The sequence below is a fragment of the Homo sapiens genome, chromosome 10 (genome assembly GCF_000001405.40).
Source record: "Homo sapiens chromosome 10, GRCh38.p14 Primary Assembly".
NCBI classification, from domain to species: Eukaryota; Metazoa; Chordata; class Mammalia; order Primates; family Hominidae; genus Homo; species Homo sapiens.
The window spans coordinates 132,642,837-132,660,561 of record NC_000010.11 but is presented as its reverse complement, the minus strand read 5'-3'; the positions used below and the strand labels follow the sequence as shown (position 1 = coordinate 132,660,561).

The 17,725-nt window shown below is 56.3% G+C and overlaps 1 protein-coding gene across 7 annotated transcripts in view, besides 2 other annotated features; it reads right to left on the bottom strand.

Annotated features, from left to right (window-relative positions):
* The window catches only part of INPP5A (inositol polyphosphate-5-phosphatase A), a 245,694-nt gene that overhangs the window by 122,919 nt on the left and 105,050 nt on the right, over positions 1-17,725 (bottom strand). For 6 of the 7 annotated variants that reach the window (XR_001747104.2, XR_945735.2, XR_007061963.1 and 3 more), the window contains exons 3-4: positions 14,594-14,694; positions 10,057-10,144 (exon numbers count right to left, since the gene is read on the bottom strand). Coding sequence is in view for 3 of the 7 variants with exons in the window: in NM_005539.5 (NP_005530.3) it covers positions 10,057-10,144; positions 14,594-14,694 (189 nt within the window). In the remaining 4 variants the exon portion in view is untranslated. Of the gene's footprint in view, positions 1-10,056; positions 10,145-14,593; positions 14,695-17,725 lie in introns of those variants that run through there. The other variant, XM_017016204.2, reaches the window with a different exon arrangement.
* Positions 15,636-16,154: an enhancer, noted in NCBI's record as "H3K27ac-H3K4me1 hESC enhancer chr10:134457912-134458430 (GRCh37/hg19 assembly coordinates)". NCBI's record gives its function as "activates a minimal SCP1, AML or CMV promoter by ChIP-STARR-seq in naive H9 embryonic stem cells {active_cell/tissue: H9 hESC(naive)}" and the evidence as "EXISTENCE:reporter gene assay evidence [ECO:0000049][PMID:30033119]".
* Positions 16,155-16,674: an enhancer, noted in NCBI's record as "H3K27ac-H3K4me1 hESC enhancer chr10:134457392-134457911 (GRCh37/hg19 assembly coordinates)". NCBI's record gives its function as "activates a minimal SCP1, AML or CMV promoter by ChIP-STARR-seq in naive H9 embryonic stem cells {active_cell/tissue: H9 hESC(naive)}" and the evidence as "EXISTENCE:reporter gene assay evidence [ECO:0000049][PMID:30033119]".

Here is a 17,725-nt window from a genome sequence, read left to right as displayed (position 1 = left end):
CGCACCAGATCACAAACTGGCACACCACCTTCTTGTCAGTGCTACCTCCTCCTGCAGGTCTTGTTTGATGTCACCATCAACAGAAGGAGTCTCTTCCTCCTAAGAAGTTTCCTGGAATTTTGTTTTTTAAAAGCTAGTAACACACACACACACGAGTTCTGCAAGGCACACTATGAAAACAGTAGCTCCTGTCCACTTCAGTCTTCTAGTTCCCAGAGGCAATTATTTTCTTTTGATTGTTTTCTTTTGGTATTTATCTCCATACCTCTAAAGCTTATATTGCCACTTCTTGATTTTCCAGTTTTCAACATTGATTTTTCAATTTTTCCATGCTGGAAGAAGAGGATTTAACTACTTTCTACTATCTTTCCCCGTCACTCAATATCACACACACACTCCATCTCTCACCCCCACCCTCTCAATATTTTCACTTAAATCAATAATCAATATTTACATCATTATAATGTGCCGTGTGTCACGCATTGGCAGACGTCAGAACGTGCCGTGGGCCACGCGTCGGCGGAGCGCGGGAACGTGCCGTGGGTCACGCGTCGGCGGAGCATGAGAATGTGTTGTGTCACGTGTCATGTGCCATGTCACAGGGAGTATGCCGCGTGTCATGTGTTGTATGTCACATGTCATGTGTCAGGAGCTGCAGGCTGCATGTCCTCAGGTTTCTGGAGCCCAGCTGACAGCACTGGATCCTGTTGTGGGCATCTGGCTCTGTGATGAGGCACTGGCCTTCTCCATGCTCCACCTCCCAGGGCAGGCAGCCATGAAGCCGTGCAGACCTGACTCGGGACAGTGCTGGGGAGGAGGCCCTGGTGAGTGCCAGGCAAGGTTGCCGCCTGCCAAGTGGGTTGTTCTCCTGATCCGGCCCTTGCTGTGGGCCTGCGTGCAGAGGTCTCCTCTGCAGGGGACGGTGGGTGTGCATCAGCCACGGCGCTCAGCACAGAATACCCATGGCTGTGCAGCAGCTGGACCAGGGCATGTTGAATGAATGGACTGCCATGGGAGCTGCTCGCTGAGAAGGAACACTGGATAACCTGGGCACGGTCATCCTTCAAAAGCCTCAGCTTAGACAGCAGCGCCTCCAGACCCGCGTCCGTGGATGCACCCCACAGGGACCTCATGGCCAGCACTGCCCACCACTCCCGCCTCACCCAGAGCTAGGGAACCCTCTGCCCATGGTCCCATGGCTAGATGGCCAGGACCAGCCCCAGAGCTACGGGCCAATGGCAGCTCTCCATCTTTCCAGTTCTGGACCCTTCCAAGGCTGCTCTCAGCAAGGTGCCTTTCTCAGTGCTCCAGCTCCTGACAGGACTTCCTGCTTCCTCAGCCCCAGGCCTCAATCTGAACCCCTGTGCCTCTGAGTCTGCCTGACACCTACAGGAGCACAGACAGGTCTCCCCGGAAGTTTGGAGAACACTGGCGTGGGGAGTGGCACCTGCAGAGCTGGGGACCCACCTAGGCATCTTCGCCTCCTGGGCTGCTCATCCCCAGGGCCCAGGTCGGTAGCCTTGGTGGCTGGCAGCTTCCACTGTGGACGGCAGCTGACTCCAGGTGATGGCAGAAGGAGCTTCCCAGGCAGCCTGTTGAGCACCCACGAGGAAGCGCAGATGCTGGCGGCACCTATCTTTTCAAACTGCCCCAGGCCCGACGCCTTCCACTCTCCTGCCGGGTGCATGGAGCCACCGGGAGCAGCCGGCGGCCTTGGTGGTCTTGGCAGTCTCGGCGGTCTTGGTGGCTTTGGCGGTCTCAGCAGTCTCGGTGGTCTTGGTGGCCTTTCGAAAGGAAAGCTTCTCAAGAGACATACAACCCAGCCTCCTTGGAGCCCAGAGGGCCTAGAGCATCCGTGCCCAGAGACCACCCAGCTGCGGGCAGCTTGCAGACACCCGGGCACCCATGAGCACCCCCGGGGGGCCGGCGGACTCAGCCCTGTGTGTAAACAGATCGACACGCGTCAAGGCTGCATCCAAGGCCCGGCCTGCAGCCAGGAAACACCCGTCTGCTCAGAACGCACGGAGCCGACCATGAAATTAACCTCATGGCAATTGTTTTCCCACCCGTTTGATAGCCCAATGTCAGCTCATCTGTTAGAAGGAAATAAAAGAGTCAAGCCTAAATGTACAAAAAATTATGATGGAAGGTCCTAAATAAAGCAGGCTTATGGAGTCAAACATCAATCCATCAATAAGGGAGTGGATTAGGAGCACCTCATAAGCCCCAAAGAAATAATGTGCCCAAACACTGGGATTTCACAGTGGAGGACCAAATTCCAACACTTTTAGGAAGTAAATAATGAAAAATCAATTCAAAGAAAAAACAGATCAAGAACCCTGGACTCTGACACATTTATTGCTGAATACCATTTCTCGGCTGACCCAAAAACTTCGGAAGGTGTTTATTTACTTTCAACACCTTCCAGAGATCAATATTTTTAATTTGGATCCGAGTTATTATTTTTCACATCACAGCAGCGGGGAGCGGAGTAAAGTGGCTCATATTTTAGTGCTAAAAAGATCGATATGACAGTTTCACCTTCACTGCAGCCCCAGCCGCACATCATCGCGTCCCACGGGACTGCAGGTGCTGGGGCCGGGGAGCAGGTCATTACCTGCCCGCTGAGGAGACAGCCCGTGATTTAGGGGAGCATGAAGGGCCCGGTGCCCTCAGAAAACCAATCTCGCCCCCTCTCACTTCATCAGGACTGTCTTGCCCCCAGGCAGGTGAGGAGGCAGCGAGCCCCAGGGCAGGGCTGGAGCCCTAAGGCAGATGAGCTTCCTCATCATAAACGCGTTTGCCTTTCCTTCCCCTTCTCTGGATCAAAGAACATCCGTAAACTCCATCAATTTTCCATAAATTCTCCCTAAAGTCTTATTTAGGAGAACGAGAGTGGAAGGGGGAGCTCACAGAGGAGGAGGAGGGAAAGCAGAAGGGCCTCTCCCAGGAAGCAGCGGGCCTCTCATTCCTGGGCCACCGCTGGGTACTGGGGCCCCCCACCCCAAGAGCACCAGGGCCACTGCCTGGGGGCCATGCCGAGAGCCTGCCTCTTACAGACTACAGAGCTGGGGGTGGGGGCTGTGAGCTGCCGTGCACAGCACTTGCAAAGGGCATCTGTGCCCCACTTCACTCTCCACAGACCCAGCCGCGGGGGAGGCAGACCCTGCTCTGCAGGAGGCCAGAGCCCCTGGAAAAGCCTAGAAGCCACCAAGGCGCGAGCAGAGTCCACCATGGCAGTGCTTGCAGGTCACTCATGGTGCCAGCAGAGACCTGCCCTCCGAGGTGCAAAGGCAGCGCTAGCGGGTGGGAGAGGGGTAAGCCCCCGGTTGGTGACCAGCGGCCACGTGCTGTGGCCACTCTGCCCAGCAGGCCTTGCAGGCTCATAGTTCTGCTCCGAGCCCAAGAGCCTTGAGTGAGCAGGCGGCGCAGCTTAGCAAGTGCATGGGGCCATCCTGGCTGAGGCAGCCTCCTGCCTCTGGGGCTACTCCACACGGAGGTCTCCTACACAAGGAGCTCAGACTTCACTCTCTCTTCCTCAACGCCTCGGCTTGTGGCTGCCCCAGACCCAACTAGGTCATCGGACCCCAGGCTCAGGCCTGCCCAAGTCCCCACACAGCCCTGTCGCTGCTGTCTGCCCAGAGACTCCTGGCACATGGGGTCCCACGGTTCCCCACATGCACCATCTGGGCTGAGTGCCCAGGCCTGTGGAGCCCTGCTGCATAGGGAAGGGTGCACACGCCTCCGGGCCACCTGAGCAGCTGTGGAAGGGTCTGCACCGCCCTGGGCCCCTCCAAACTGTCTCCAGCTGCTGCATGTGAAAAATCCTCTCAGGAGCCCGGGGCAACCCTGCTTGGTGCCCTTCAGGACCGGCTCACCTGGCCCAGCTGGCTGGCTGCACCTCCAACCCCTCCTTCTGTCTATGTGGCCACAGAGGGGCTCAGGCAAGAGGCGAGGTGGGGCAGCCCGCACAGCCACCTCCTGTCCCCAGCCGCTCCTCCAACCCCCTCTTCTGCTGACTCCTTGACTCCAGCTGGGGTCCTGTGCAGCAGGTACCTTCCCAAGCAGGGGGGACCCTCCGAGGAGCAGGCACTCTCTGAGCAGGCACAGCTGGCGGGGGCAGGGGTGTCCCTGGAGGCAGTGTGTCCGCCAGGCCACACCTTCTCAGCCCTCTCCCGAAGCTATCTTAATTGTATCAGCAGATAAACCCTTCTGCTCCAACTTTAAGCCATTAAAAGGCATGGTTTCTTCAAACTTCTTCTGGGTGGGTGGATGAAGAGGAGAGTGGGGCTTTCCTTCTCACACCCTGACCCCACTGCCACCTTCCCTCTAGGAGTTCCTCCAGGTGGGTGGATGAAGGAGCTGCATGGAGAGAGGGTCTTTCCTCTTGCACCCTGTCCCCACTGCCAGCTTCCCTCTAGGGCTTTCAGTCCGGTCAGGACAGTCCTGGGCATGGGCCCCAGCAGTGCTCACAGCTCCCAGCAGGAAAGCTGCTGAAGCAGCCGAAGCTTTGAGAGGCCACGGTCAGTGCTGGGAGGCCTTGAAGAAGCTGCTGCAGGTGCCCACGCCAGGCCCTCCTGGCCCCACCAGTCTGCATGGGACCCATGCCCAGCCAGCCACAAGGCTTCAATGGGACTAGAGCCCAGGACACAGGCTGGGACCTACACTCAGGCGCCTGCAGCCCCACGCAGCCTCTCTGGGAGGGGCGGGTGACAAGCGAACCAGAGCCATGGATGGTAAGTCACCAAGCTGAGCTGGGAGGATGGGGTGGCCTTGGCTCCTACCAGGCCCCAAGCAAGCCTCAAGTCCCTACAGTAAATACATCTTCTGGGCTTCCCAGGTAGGCCAAATCAGCAGCAAAGCCCAGTGACAGGCCCCCCACCCCTCCCACTGCAGGGCTCCACTTCTGTGGTGAAACCAGATGCGGGTGACGTTAAACGAAAATGAATTTGCAACCTCTTCCTCACAGAACCCTCTTGGAAGCGGAGTTCAGGAAAGCCGTTACCCTGCGTCCTCTGGCCGACGTCGGCTCTCTGGGCGCTGACTGATGTGTTCTCGGAGCTCCCTGCGTGCCCGGCAGACAAGACACGGGATTTCTGTGCTGTTGGAGCTGTGGATCAATAGGCACTTGGCAGCCCGGGAAAGCCTCGCCCAGGCACTTCTTCAGTGTCGAGGCCTGTGTGGGAGGATGCACCGCGGTGGCTAAGAAATTTCTCTGGGTACCAACGTGGTACCGAGACCTCCACGGCGGGGCTAGCTCTGAGCCCTGTCTCCAGTGCTGTGGGTGGACATGTGTTCCCAGGGGTAGGGACACCAGGCTGAACCCAGGAGCAAGGGCTCTGACAAAGGCGCTTCAGGGATGAGGCACACAGACCGCCTGGCACTCAGGTGTCTTCCAGCCTGGCTCTCGCCACTTTTCCATTTTCCATGCGGGCGCAGAGCTCGGGGCTCAGCCTGGGCACCTCCTGGGGCCTTCTGCCCTGAGCCAGGCCCACCTCGCCTGGCGGAGTCGGTGCATGTCCATCCCAGACTCAGCCTCCCAAAGTGCTGGGATTACCGGCGTGAGCCACCGCGCCCAGCCTAATATCCTCATTTTTTAAGCATTAAAAGTTGCCTTCTGATCATCTCCGGTAGGAAACTCTCAGGCGCTGCGTGGGCGCCATCTCCTGGTGGCAATGGGCACCTGCAGGTCGCTCAAAGCCCCTCAGCCGCGTCCCCCCCACAGGCTCACGCGCCAGGCGCAGCTTCAGGTTCAATCGCCTTCTGGGAACAGGCCACTATTTTCTGATCCCTATTAATACCCGTGACAGCATTTATGTACAAGATAAATTCATTTCAATTTCCTTTTTCAATTAATGGCCTATTATTTGAACCAGACTCAGCTAAAAATATTGCTCCAATACCATCAATCTTGTAAAAATTAAATTTTCCTCCCTCTGACAGCCAGAGGGCACCTGGCTGGGGCAGGAGGGTGATTGTCTGGCTGGCCGCTGCTGCCCAGCTCTGCCCAGGACCCCGGGGAAGTCAGGCCCCGCCACACAGACACCCCGAGGGCCCCCAGCAAAGACCAGGCCACTGAGGCAGCCAGTGGTGGCCCAGGGGGCAGCGTTCCGAGGTCTGCCAGCCCAGTCTCAGTGACAAGACAGGGAGGACAGGCCCGCCTGGCACCAGCTTGGCATGAGCTAACTGGGCATCTGGGGCATCCTGGACCCTCCTACCTGCCAGGCAAGGCTGCCCTCCACCATCCACCTGGCCTAAAGCCTCACTCAGGGCCGTGGCTGTGGGAGAGATCAGGTCCGTGCCCAGGCAGGGAAGCCGGGGCTGGAGCCCACTGAGCTGAAGGGCGGCAGCAGAGGCACGGGAGCTCCTGCCAGGCCACAGTTCCCCGAGAGCAGGCCTGAGACCCACTCTCACTCCCAAGCCTTATCCTGTCCCATTTTCCGGAAACCCTCATCGTGAGGGTGACTGGAGGAACAGCCTCGGGGCCTCAGACACAGCACGGCTGCCTCTGGGTGGCCTGTTCAGCCGCCCTGGTGCCCCGCACCCTGGTTTCAGACATCTCAGAGACGTAATTGGGAAGCGTGTGTGCTGAAGAATGGGCTGCCAGGCCCACGTCACTGTCGGGCACTTTGAGGCACCAAGTACACAGCGGCTTCTTGAGGGGAGGGGCCCGGCCCAGCCCCTGTGCTTCCTCCCCTGAGAGGCACCTTTCCTTTGACGGGGGGCGCCGTGCTCCCCGCGCTGAAGGCTGCCGTACGATCTGCAGCGGGTGCAGACTATTTTGGCATCTCACAGATTTTGAAGGTTCTAGCTTTTCACATAATTTAAAATACCTTGTAATTCTCTTTGACTTGGGATTATTAACAAACAAGTTAATTTCCAAATATTTGAGACTTTTCCATATATCTTTTTTATTTACTTCTAATTTAATTCTTTTTGGTAAGAGAATGCGTTTGTATCCTTTCCATCTCTCAGAGGCAGGGGCAAGGTCTTTCTGGAACTAGACTCATGTGCCCTGGCGACTGTTTTGCTGGAACCACCCAGGGCCAGGGAGGAACCCTGGAAAGAAGGGAGAACAACCCCAGAGCTCGTACAGGCCTGGCACGGCCTGTGCCCGGCAGCCAGGTGCAGATGCCCAGATACGCACGCCAGGCAGAGTCTCGGGTGGACCTGAGCCCTTAAGCACAGGCCGCTCCGGACCCACCTGGAAAACCCTGAAAGCCAGGTGTGGAGGCAGCCGCAGCCCTCGGGGGCCTGAAGAAGGTAGCCAGGTGTGGAGGCAGCCGCGGCCCTCGGGAGCCTGAAGGAGGTTTTGCTGAGGCTTTCGCCCTCATGTGGAAAAACGTTTTGGTGGAAACAGAACTACAGCATGACGGCTGCCCCTCCGCCAGCCCATGTGTGCCTCGCTCTCAGGTATCCCAGCCAGGCTCGGACAGACGGAGAGGCCTGCTCTGGCCAGGGCCCAGCACGCGGGTGCCTTCTGTCGGTGGCTGCGTCCACCACTGCTCTGGCTGGAGAGCCTCAGATGCCAAGGGTGCGGGTGGCGGGCACTGCCCCTCCGCCCACCTGCACATCGGCCAGCAGGAGGGGACTGTGGGGTCCTCCTGCGGTGCAGAGCCTCCCGTCTCCACCCAGCCCTGTCGGTTTCGCGTCTAAGTGAGCTCTGATATTAGGGGCGCACGTTCACGACCGCTATGTCCTCCCAAAAAGCTGACCCCTTATCATCGTGAAATGACCGCTCTCAGCCCCGACAACACGCTCGTTCTGAGGGCACCCTGACATGCAGACAGCCACTCCTACTTTCTTCTAACGACTGTTTTACAAGGTACATCCTCCTCCGTCCCTTCACTTTTAAAATACCTGTGTCTTTATATCTAAAGGAAGCTGGAAAGAGCTGAGCGATGGTCCCCATGAGGAAGAGGTAGCTGGCGACTGGCACAGATGAGGCTCCCATGGCAGGGCAGCACGCAGAGACGGGGAGCAGAGCCCCACTCTTCCGAGGATGATGGGTGGCAAGGAAGGGCCTTCATGTAACTTGCTTTCAGCAATCGGACCTTGGCCTGCGTTGGTATGTTTATTCGGCTTGAAGCTTGTTGCAGTATTTGGATCTTTCTGTAAGTTTCATGGACTGATGAAGAAATCTGAGCCATGACATCTGTAAGCATCACCCTGTCTGCCTCCTTTCCCCGCTCCTCCTGGGGCTGCAGCCACACGTGTTAGGACACCTGGTATTTCACAGTGATTTCTATCCACTTTTCAGTCCTTCTCTCTGTTTCACTTTAATTTTGTGGCTGTCTTCAAGTTCAGTCACCTTCTCTTTTCTTCTGCAATGTCTAATTTGCTGCTCCCCCAGTGGTGTTTTTCTTTTTCATCTGAATAAGCCCCTACTTGGGAAACACATTACGTTGGGTCATGGCAGAGGAGAGTGAGAGGGTCAAGGAAGCTGCCATTTTATGGAAAGGATGGCAGAGCTGAGAGAAAGAAGCTGGTAGGGAGGAGGGACCAAGGGGGAGAGGGAGGAGGGACCAAGGGGGAGAGGGAGGAAGGCTGACAGGAGGAGCTACATCCTGAGCACAGGGGTGAGGGCCTTGGCTCTGGTGTGAGTGGGGGCCCCGTGGTCCCCGTGTGCCCCACAGAGCGTGAGGAGAGGCCGCTTGTGTGTGGGCAGCTGCTTGACAGGGCGAGGGTCGGAGACCGAACGGGGGATTCCCGGGATTGTACAGACTCCACTACTGGTGGGGACCACGCATGACAGCTGTGTGACCATCTCAGGGACAAGGACATTGATCAACTGGCACTGGATGCCCAAACAAGTGAGATGGCCCTTGAACCCAAACAGCAATGAGAGTCCCACCTGCAGGGCAGGGGGGCACTGGAGAGCGAGACCCTCAGCACTGCAGCCTACGGGGGCCCACCTGGGAGAGGGCAGATTAACAAGGGCCTGTCACGTGACGGCGCAATGACGGCTAGTGGGCGCTGATGCTGGGGACAGAAGGCCAGAGATGGGGGAGAAGGATGCAGGGCCTCTCCAGAGACGGGGGAGATGGAACCAGGCCGGGGGACCCAGGGCCTCCCCAGAGATGGGGGAGATGGACCCAAGCCGGGGGACCCAGGGCCTCCCCAGAGACGGGGGAGATGGACCCAGGCCGGGGGACCCAGGGCCTCCCCAGAGACGGGGGAGATGGACCCAGGCCGGGGGACCCAGGGCCTCCCCAGAGACGGGGGAGATGGATCCAGGCCGGGGGACCCAGGGCCTCCCCAGAGACGGGGGAGATGGACCCAGGCCGGGGGACCCAGGGCCTCCCCAGAGACGGGGGAGATGGATCCAGGCCGGGGGACCCAGGGCATAAAGACGGGATTTAAGACGTGGGTCTCTGAACCAACAGCAAGTTATTCACGACCTGCAGAGTGTCCCCTCCTCTGAGGAGCTTCCTGCCCCTTCCCAGACACCTGGTGCCTGTATCTCTGTGGCTGCCACGTCCACCAGGGCCACCCTCTCATGTGTCCACCTGACAGAGGACCGCAGAGGAGGGACAGGTCTTTCCCAGCCCTGTGGAAGGCTCTGTCCCACTCCCCCTGTGCTCACCCTGAGGAACAGCCTCTCTCCGAGGCAGGACACCGCCCCAGCCCTGCACACTCAGGGATCAGGAAGGGACGGACCCAGCATGGGAGCAGGGCTGGCGACGGTGGCTCTTGAAGCAATACCGGCTGCTGTCCAACCTCTCATCTACACGCCTGGAGCCCCGGACTCCCTCTTATTTTCATGCACGCTGAGGCCCTGGGCCTCTCCCCACCTGTCACTCCCCAATTCCCTCTTGGGCTTGGTCTGGAGCCCCAAGACCCTGTGCGTGCTGGGCCACCTTCCCTGCCAGGCCAGCCATGGGCTCAGACCACGAGCAGACCACCAAGCAGGCTGCGGGAGTGCCAGGCAGGGCAGCGTGAGTGAGGCTTCAGGCAGGGAGCACCCCGACCTCTCTCCATTTACACAGGAGAAGGGCTGGCTTCTGCCAAGGCCAGCCTGTCTGACCCCTGCACCAGGCAGCGGGAGGGACTCACCGTGAAGTGCTCCTGGGATTTGTAGTTTTCATCCAGGTAGACTCGAGCCCTGTTATATTCTTTCATCGCATCACTCGACAATAGTTCTCTGGAAGGAAGAAAGTAGGTTCCTGAGGAAAAGCCACACAGACGCCTTGCACCTCATGAGATGACCACAAGGTATAAGAGGGGCTCCAGCACATAGGTACATCACCGTGAGACCATCCACCCGTGACAGGCAGAGGGCAGGGAATGGCGGCAGCCACCGCAGGAGCTGGCCTCACGTTCAGCTCTCAGCATGTGCAGAGCTCAAGCTCCCACAGGCTCTGGTCTCCACGCAGCCTGTGAGATGCCGGGGTCTGAGGCATCCCAGGGATGGAGACATTGAGAACTCACCCAAGGTCTCATGCCAGGGAAGCGCAACTCCAAGCTCTGGGGGCTCTCCTGATAGCTCACGCTTGGTCTTAAGAGAGAAATTGGACCCCCAGTAGCCACCAGCACACACAGGTTGGGGCACATGCACCCCAGGGCCCAGGTAGTTCTGTCCCCATCTGCTCCTCCCAGAAGTGGCAGCGAGAATGGTGGTTGAGTTGCCACGGCCTTGCAACCACACAGGAGGGAAAGGACCTCTGGACACGCCATTGTCCCCGACCGTTCATCCTACTGGTCACATTTTATCATCAGGAAGGCCTTAAGGAGACAAGCTCACCACCATCTCCGCAAAGCATGGCTGCACAGGAGGCCACCGCACACCCCTGGAGCCCATGAACGGAGGACGAGGCCCCGTCTGCCTGGCCCCTCCACAGAGACAGTCCATCATCCCCCTACCCACGCATGCTTATTCAAGCCAGTGGGGAGAGAGGAGACCAGCACCCTGTGATCCAGCCAGTCCATGTGTCAGGAAGAAGGGGGGTCCACATTGAAGAAAATAAAACTGCACCAGTAGAGAAGGGCAAGGCAAAGAATGCCTTGACAGACCCACACTGATCCCCATGTGGCTTAACTGTTGGTAAACACAACCTTCAACACGCTTTAAAGGAAGAAAACAGGGCTCAAACACTAAACAACGTAACATTCGCAATGTCTGCCATCCTACGGAAAATAACTTGATATGAGAAGCAGCAACACCACGTGAATGTGTCCCGTCATCCTACGAAGAAGCCGTCAACAGAAACAGACCCGGAAGAGGCAAAAATGACGGAGTGAGCTGAAAGCAACTGGGAACAGTCATTGCAACTGTGACCAGACAGCGAAAGGAACGCACAGACGGAAGGAAAAGCGAGGACAGGGAAAGCACACGTGAGGCTTCTGGAAGGAGTGGACAAACACAATGTCAGAAATAAAACGAACTGACTGCATGGACCTAAGAGAAGATCAAAATCTGCAACAGAAAAGAGCCCAGCCACTTAAAAATACAGCAACAGAGGCGATCCAAACCGAAACACAGGGAAAATGAGCTGAAAACAATCAGAAGAGCTTTAGGGCCCTGTGGGGCAGAACCAGGCAATCTAACATCAGGTAACTGGAGCCTAAGAACAAAAGAGAAGGGAAGGAAAAGAAAAATAGTATTTAAAGAAATAATGGACAAGGACAAATTTTCCCCAAATTTGATTAAAACGATAAACCCACAGACTGCAAATGCTCAAACGGCCCCAAGCAAGATAAACATAAAGAACATCAAAGCAAAGTACAACATAATCAGGTTGCTGCAAACCAGCTATAAAGACAAAACCTAGCAGTGGAGGAAAGGGCACATTATATACAAGAAAATTAAGAGAGAACAATGGCGAGATTCTCGCCAGCAACAATGCAATACAGAAGACAATGGGGCGATATCATTAAAGTAGTGAGAGGAAAAAAAATTGACAAGCTAGAATTCTATTTACAACAAAAACAGCTTTCAAAAATGAGGACAAAGACCTTTTTCAGATAAACAAAAGCTGAGAAAATTCATGAGCAGCTGACTTGTGCTAAAATAAATGTTAAAGAACGTTCTTCAGGCAGAGAGAGAAGGGTGCCAGATAAAAAGCAGAATCCACACAAAAGGGCGGAGGGCACTGAAAGCCAGTGAACTGGTCCACACCAAGGGCGTTTCTCTCACGTCTTAATCTTTTAAAAAGAAAATTGTTTAAAGCAAAAATCATAACGCTGTACATTAGGCATAAAGCGCGGAGGAAGGAAACACACACGGCATCGCGGGGGCACAAGGCCGTGGGGGCCACACTCCACTGTGAAGCTCTCACACCAAACACGGCGGCATCGTTCCCGTCCGGCCTGCGGTGTCCCCGCCTGCTGTGAGGGCGGCGTCCTCCGTGCTCAGGGTGCACCCCCACTTTCTCTCCTCTGGAAGGTGCTTCCCAACAGGGGCTGCTTTCCTTCTCTTACCGACTTACTGAGTTCTTCATATATTTAAACACTCGTTTTTGTCAGTAAGGTGTGCTGCAGATATCTTTTCCCGAAGTGGCTGAATTTTGATTTTGTTTTGAGTGACTTCATTTTGAGTGACTTCATTTTGAGTGCCTTTTCATAAGCAAATGCTTAGTTCAAACATGGCCACATTTTTCAGCCTTCCATTCTGTAGGCTGCACTTCCTGCACATTTTAAAAGAAATCTCTCATCCCAAAACTATATTTTCTCCTATATTTTAGACTGAAATTTTTAATGTTGCCTTTTACATTTATATAATTAATACAACTGAAATTCATCTTATGTAGGGTGAGTGAGAAGTGGCTGCTTATGACACAAAGCAGGGATCCAATTTCATTTTTCCCAACAGGACACCAATGATGCCGTGCCCCAGCCCATGTCCCCACCCACCCTCCTCCAAGGCAGCCGCGAGGGTCTGGGTGGGGCCTCGACTCCGCTCTCCACTCTCTGGGCTGCGCACCTGCCTCGATCCGCTCTCCTCTCCGGGCCTGCGTCATGCCACCTGCCCCACTGCTTCTTCGGAATGAGCCTTGGGGTCGAGCTGGGTGAGAACCCACTTTGTTTTCCTTCAGGATTCTTTTAACTATTCTTGACCCTTTGCTCTTATATGGCAATTTTAGTATTAGTTTGTTGAGTGTTAGGAAAAATGCCGCTAAGATTTTGATTAAAACTGCCTTAAACTGGCCAGGCATGGTGGTTCATGCCTGTAATCCCAGCACTTTGGGAAGCCAAGGCAGGCAGATCACAAGGTCAGGAGATTGAGGCCATCCTGGCTAACATGGTGACACCCCATCTCTACTAAAAAAACACAAAAAAATTAGCTGGGTGTGGTGGTGGGCACCTGTAGTCCCAGCTACTCGGGAGGCTGAGGCAGAAGAATGGCATGAATCCAGGAGGCGGTGCTTGCAGTGAGCTCAGATCACGCCACTGCACTCCAGCCTGGGCAACAGAGCGAGACTCCGTCTCAAAACAAAAAAAAAAAAAGAAAAAAAAAATGCCTTAAATTACAGATTATTTTGGGAAGTTGTGGCAGTTTTTTTTAGCAGCTGAAACCACTTTGCTCTGCTCGAGGACCCTGCGCTGGGAGTTCAACACGGAGGGCTTATGTCACAGCAAGGATGCAGCGGCTGGGATCGCCTGAAGCCTCGCTCACACTCACACTGGCACCAGGCCGGGAGGGCTCGACGGCTCTGCCCACAGGTCCCGACTCCGGGTGGCTGCATCGACCCACAGAGCATGGCAGCAGCGTCAACCCACAGAGCGTGGCAGCAGCGTCGGCCCACAGTGTGTGGCAGCGGCGTCGGCCCACAGAGCGTGGCAGCGGCGTCGGCCCACAGAGTGTGGCAGCTTTGTGAAGCTCTGCGATGTTGGGGGCTGGTCCCAGAAGCCCTCATGCTGTGAAGAAGCCAGGGCTTGCCCAGGGTCTGGAGGTGGAGACGAGCCCCCAACATGGGAATGTGCCAAGGCCACACTGTAGGGGACACAGAGGGCGGGCTTCACGGCTGCGGCCTCGGGAAAATACAGCAGCCACTATTAGCAACAGCCTATAGGAGGCCCCATGTCTGAACACAAGCCTGCCTGCCCCTGCCTGCTCCTGTCCACTCCTGGATGCCCCAGGTCCGGGCGCCCCCTCTTCCCAGGCAGGACCCAGTTGGGCCGGCCCTGTCAGAAGCCTCAGGGCATGTACAGTGGGAATACACGTGGGGCACCTTCCTCCTAAACGATGGAGATTTCGCCCCCAAGGAGGATAGACGCTCCCTGCCGACCTCCTTGAGACAGACTGCGCAGTGGGATGTGAACCCCGGCCACCACAGGCCCAGGCCTCAGACACACACACACGGAGACGGCTCCACTGGTATCTGGGGCTCACGTCCCCTGGCCCGAGAGCACAGACCCTCGCCGTGTGGAGGCAGCAGGCTGTCACTCCGTGGCCTTCTGTCGCCGCCCCAAGGAGGCTCGTGGCCACACGTCTGGGCCACTCCTCTCTTTGGAAAACTGAGACTCAGCCAAGATGACCCCCAGGTGAGTCCCGAATGGTGAGGCTGGTGATCATAGTACCATGAAAAGACCCCCGCCGGCACCCCACACCCCTGGGAAGTGGACATGCACCAGCACCTGCCCCTAGACTTACTTGACGAACTTGTCCACGTGGGACATGGAGGCCTCGTAGTTCTTCCCTCCAAACTCCTGACAGTGCAAGGCCATGAAGTGCGGCTTGTGTGTGTGCACGACCTGGAGGGAGAGAAGCACACTGTCAGGGTCGTCGGAGCCGTCCACAGAGCCACACGTGGCACCACCCCCTCCACCGCCCCCACAGCCTGGGAGCCACCAGGGTCTGGCAGAGACGGGGCCCCATGTCTGCGACCATGGGTTCTGGACAGATTCTAGGAGTCACGTCGCCTTTGTGCTTCCAGTTATTTATATTTCCAGTGCTTTTCATTTTCCCATTACTGTAAATTCCATAGAAAAGAGTCCAGATTTCTCAGAAGCCTCTTCAATCATCTAGAGGCCTTATTTCTAGTTAAAAAAATGTTATGCGTGTTTACTGCAGAGCCTCTGGGAGCCTCAAGATCAACTGGTCACAATCTCACCAGGAAGGCAGCCATTAGCAACACCCAGGCACAACCCCAGCAAGGGTGCACACGTGTGCATACGTGTGCGGGAGCACGTACCAGCACGCGTGTGCCGGAGCATGTGTGTGTACACATGTGCCTGTGTATGCATGTGTGTTCACGTGTGTAGGAGCCAGGCACTCCGCCGCCTGCTCACAGCCTGGGAGGACGCCGACACACAGCAGCAACTCACGCAAGGCCACTTCCACTAAGTGGCAGAGCCGGGAACCTGAGCCTGGCATCACGGCCACTGGTGCCCCTGCCCCGCCCGCCCCATCAAGGCTCCCAGGCCCCCGACATGTCTCTGAGGTCCCCAGCAAGGATTCTGACTCAAGCAATCACCGCTGCAGCGTGCTGAATCTGTCCCAAACTTTTACAGCTAAAGAGCAGTGCAACAAATATCCTTGTCAGTGCGGCTTCCTGTGTGACCTGGCGGCTTCCACCATGAGGCTCTGAGAGGACGCGCGGGCAGAGAATTCAGAGAGCGGATGCAGTATCGACATGGCCTCCCCTCCTTCCAGGTCCCCGTCTATCTCCCACTGTCAGTCCAGCCACTGCCCCACACCGCACACCTCGCCACTCATGGGAGTCCTGACAGGCCAGGACACGAACCATCTCACCTGGCAGGAAACCCTGGGTGGGACACATGTGAGGCAGTCGGGGAGCCCCATTTCACTTGAGCAGGATGAGGGGTGAGGCACTGATTGACCCCGCTCCCCTGGAACACAGGATGCGCAGCGCTTCCAAGGAGCAAGCCCCGACAGGGCTCTCTGTCTGGTGCCGGGGTGGTGGTGCTACAACAGCCACTGAGGGCCCAAAAGGACGAGCTTCCTTGGAGGAGCGGAAAGGCGGGGAGAGAAGGGGCCGGTGCTGTCTGTGCTGGGCTTGGGAGCCTGGAGGTGCTCACGACGACACGGCACTCACTGTGAGCCAGGTGGAGCTGTGGGCATGGCCCACCTCCCAGGAGCCCAGCGGCCACGGTCCAGGGCGCAGCTGAGCAAGTGGGCAGCCAGCAAGGGACGACGGGCTCAGGCTGGGGAGACAGAAATGGTTCCAACCAAGCCCGGCGGACAGGCCCTGTCTGTGCTGCAGGTGAAGACGGGGCTCAGGCTGGGGAGACAGAAACAGCTCTGACCAGGCCCCGTGCACAGGCTCCGTCTGTGCTGCAGGTGGCAGCGGCAGCAGGAGACAAGGGCGGCCGTGCCTGAGTTCGCAGCCGCCTCTGCGTGGATGCACCGAGTGGGCCCCTCCCTCCTGGGCGTGGGCGTGGGCTCCCCGGGCACTCAGGAGGCCAGACAGCCCACTGCCTTCAGGCCCAGGCAGTGCACTTCTCCCTAACAGACGGCCCAACGTGGTTCCCAAGGGCCAGCTGTCCCTTTGGGCTGTGCTCAAAACAACAGAAGTTCTGAAAACAGACAACCCTTGGTGCCGGTGGTCTGAGTGTTTCCGGTGGTCTGGTTCCAGCTGTCTTGATGCACAACTCTGGTTTTGTTGTGGTGTCCGAGGGTGGGGGAAGAGTGGGTGGGCTTGAGATCTGCCACGCCTCCCTGGCATGGAAGAGGCCTGTGTCTACACGCCCTAGGACACCACGGGGTCACCAAGCTCCGGAGCCTCCACGACCCCCTGTGAGTGGGAGGCGATGTCAGCACTCTCCTCACTCACAGGGCGCCAGGACCCAAGGTGATGGATGCTGTGGGCATAGTGGCGCAGGGCTGGGCACAGGAACCGACGCTGGCTTTTGCTTCTATGCCAGAGCTCCTGGCCTTGGTCACAGCACCTCGAATGCACCAGCAGAATTAGTAACTCACAGCATCCTCAGACCTGGGCCAGGCTGATGCTTTTATGCCCTTTGACTTCCTCTCATGCCCCGTCCCTTCACCATTCCTGCTAGGTCTCAGAATCCAAACACTAAGCTGCCCGTCCTAAGACAACATATTTATTACACTTATAGGTTATTTAATTTAATTTTATTTCATTTAATTTCATTTGAGACAGGGTCTCACTCTGTTGCCCAGGCTGGAGTACAGTAGTGTGATCATAGCTCACAGCAGCCTCCAACTCCTGGGCTCGAGTGATCTCCCACCTCAGCCTCCCAAAGTGCTGGGACTACAGGTGTGAGTCCCCACATCTGGCCTCAAAATCCTTCAGGCCCGTGACTTTTCTCACTAGACTGCCTCAACTCCTGTACCACCCAGAGAAAGACAGTGGCAGTAGTACAATATTCAGTGATAACTTGGATGTGTTTAGGTTTATTTTGTGCCTTTCTTAGTCTTTAATAGTTGAATTCCTTCTATATACTAGCAGAGCTAACTGATTAAACCATACCTCTATGGGAGAAAAAAACCCCCCTATATTCAATATATCTTAATTGGTCAACCCAATGACCTTGCTAATTAATAGTATTTGAAACTAAATTTTAACAAATCACTAAGTTTAAATAAACAACTGAGGAAAATGACTCCTCTCTCCGTGACATTCATTTAAAGTCAACATCTCCCACAGAGCGACCTGGCAACACCTGCTTTGTACTGGACGGAACGTGAGCTCAGCTACGTCAACAGCACATACTCTCAGTTTCCCCAAGCTGGCAAGATTTCAAGCACGTGACAGAAAAGCAGGATGATGAAGAGTTATGACATGTAAAATTACCA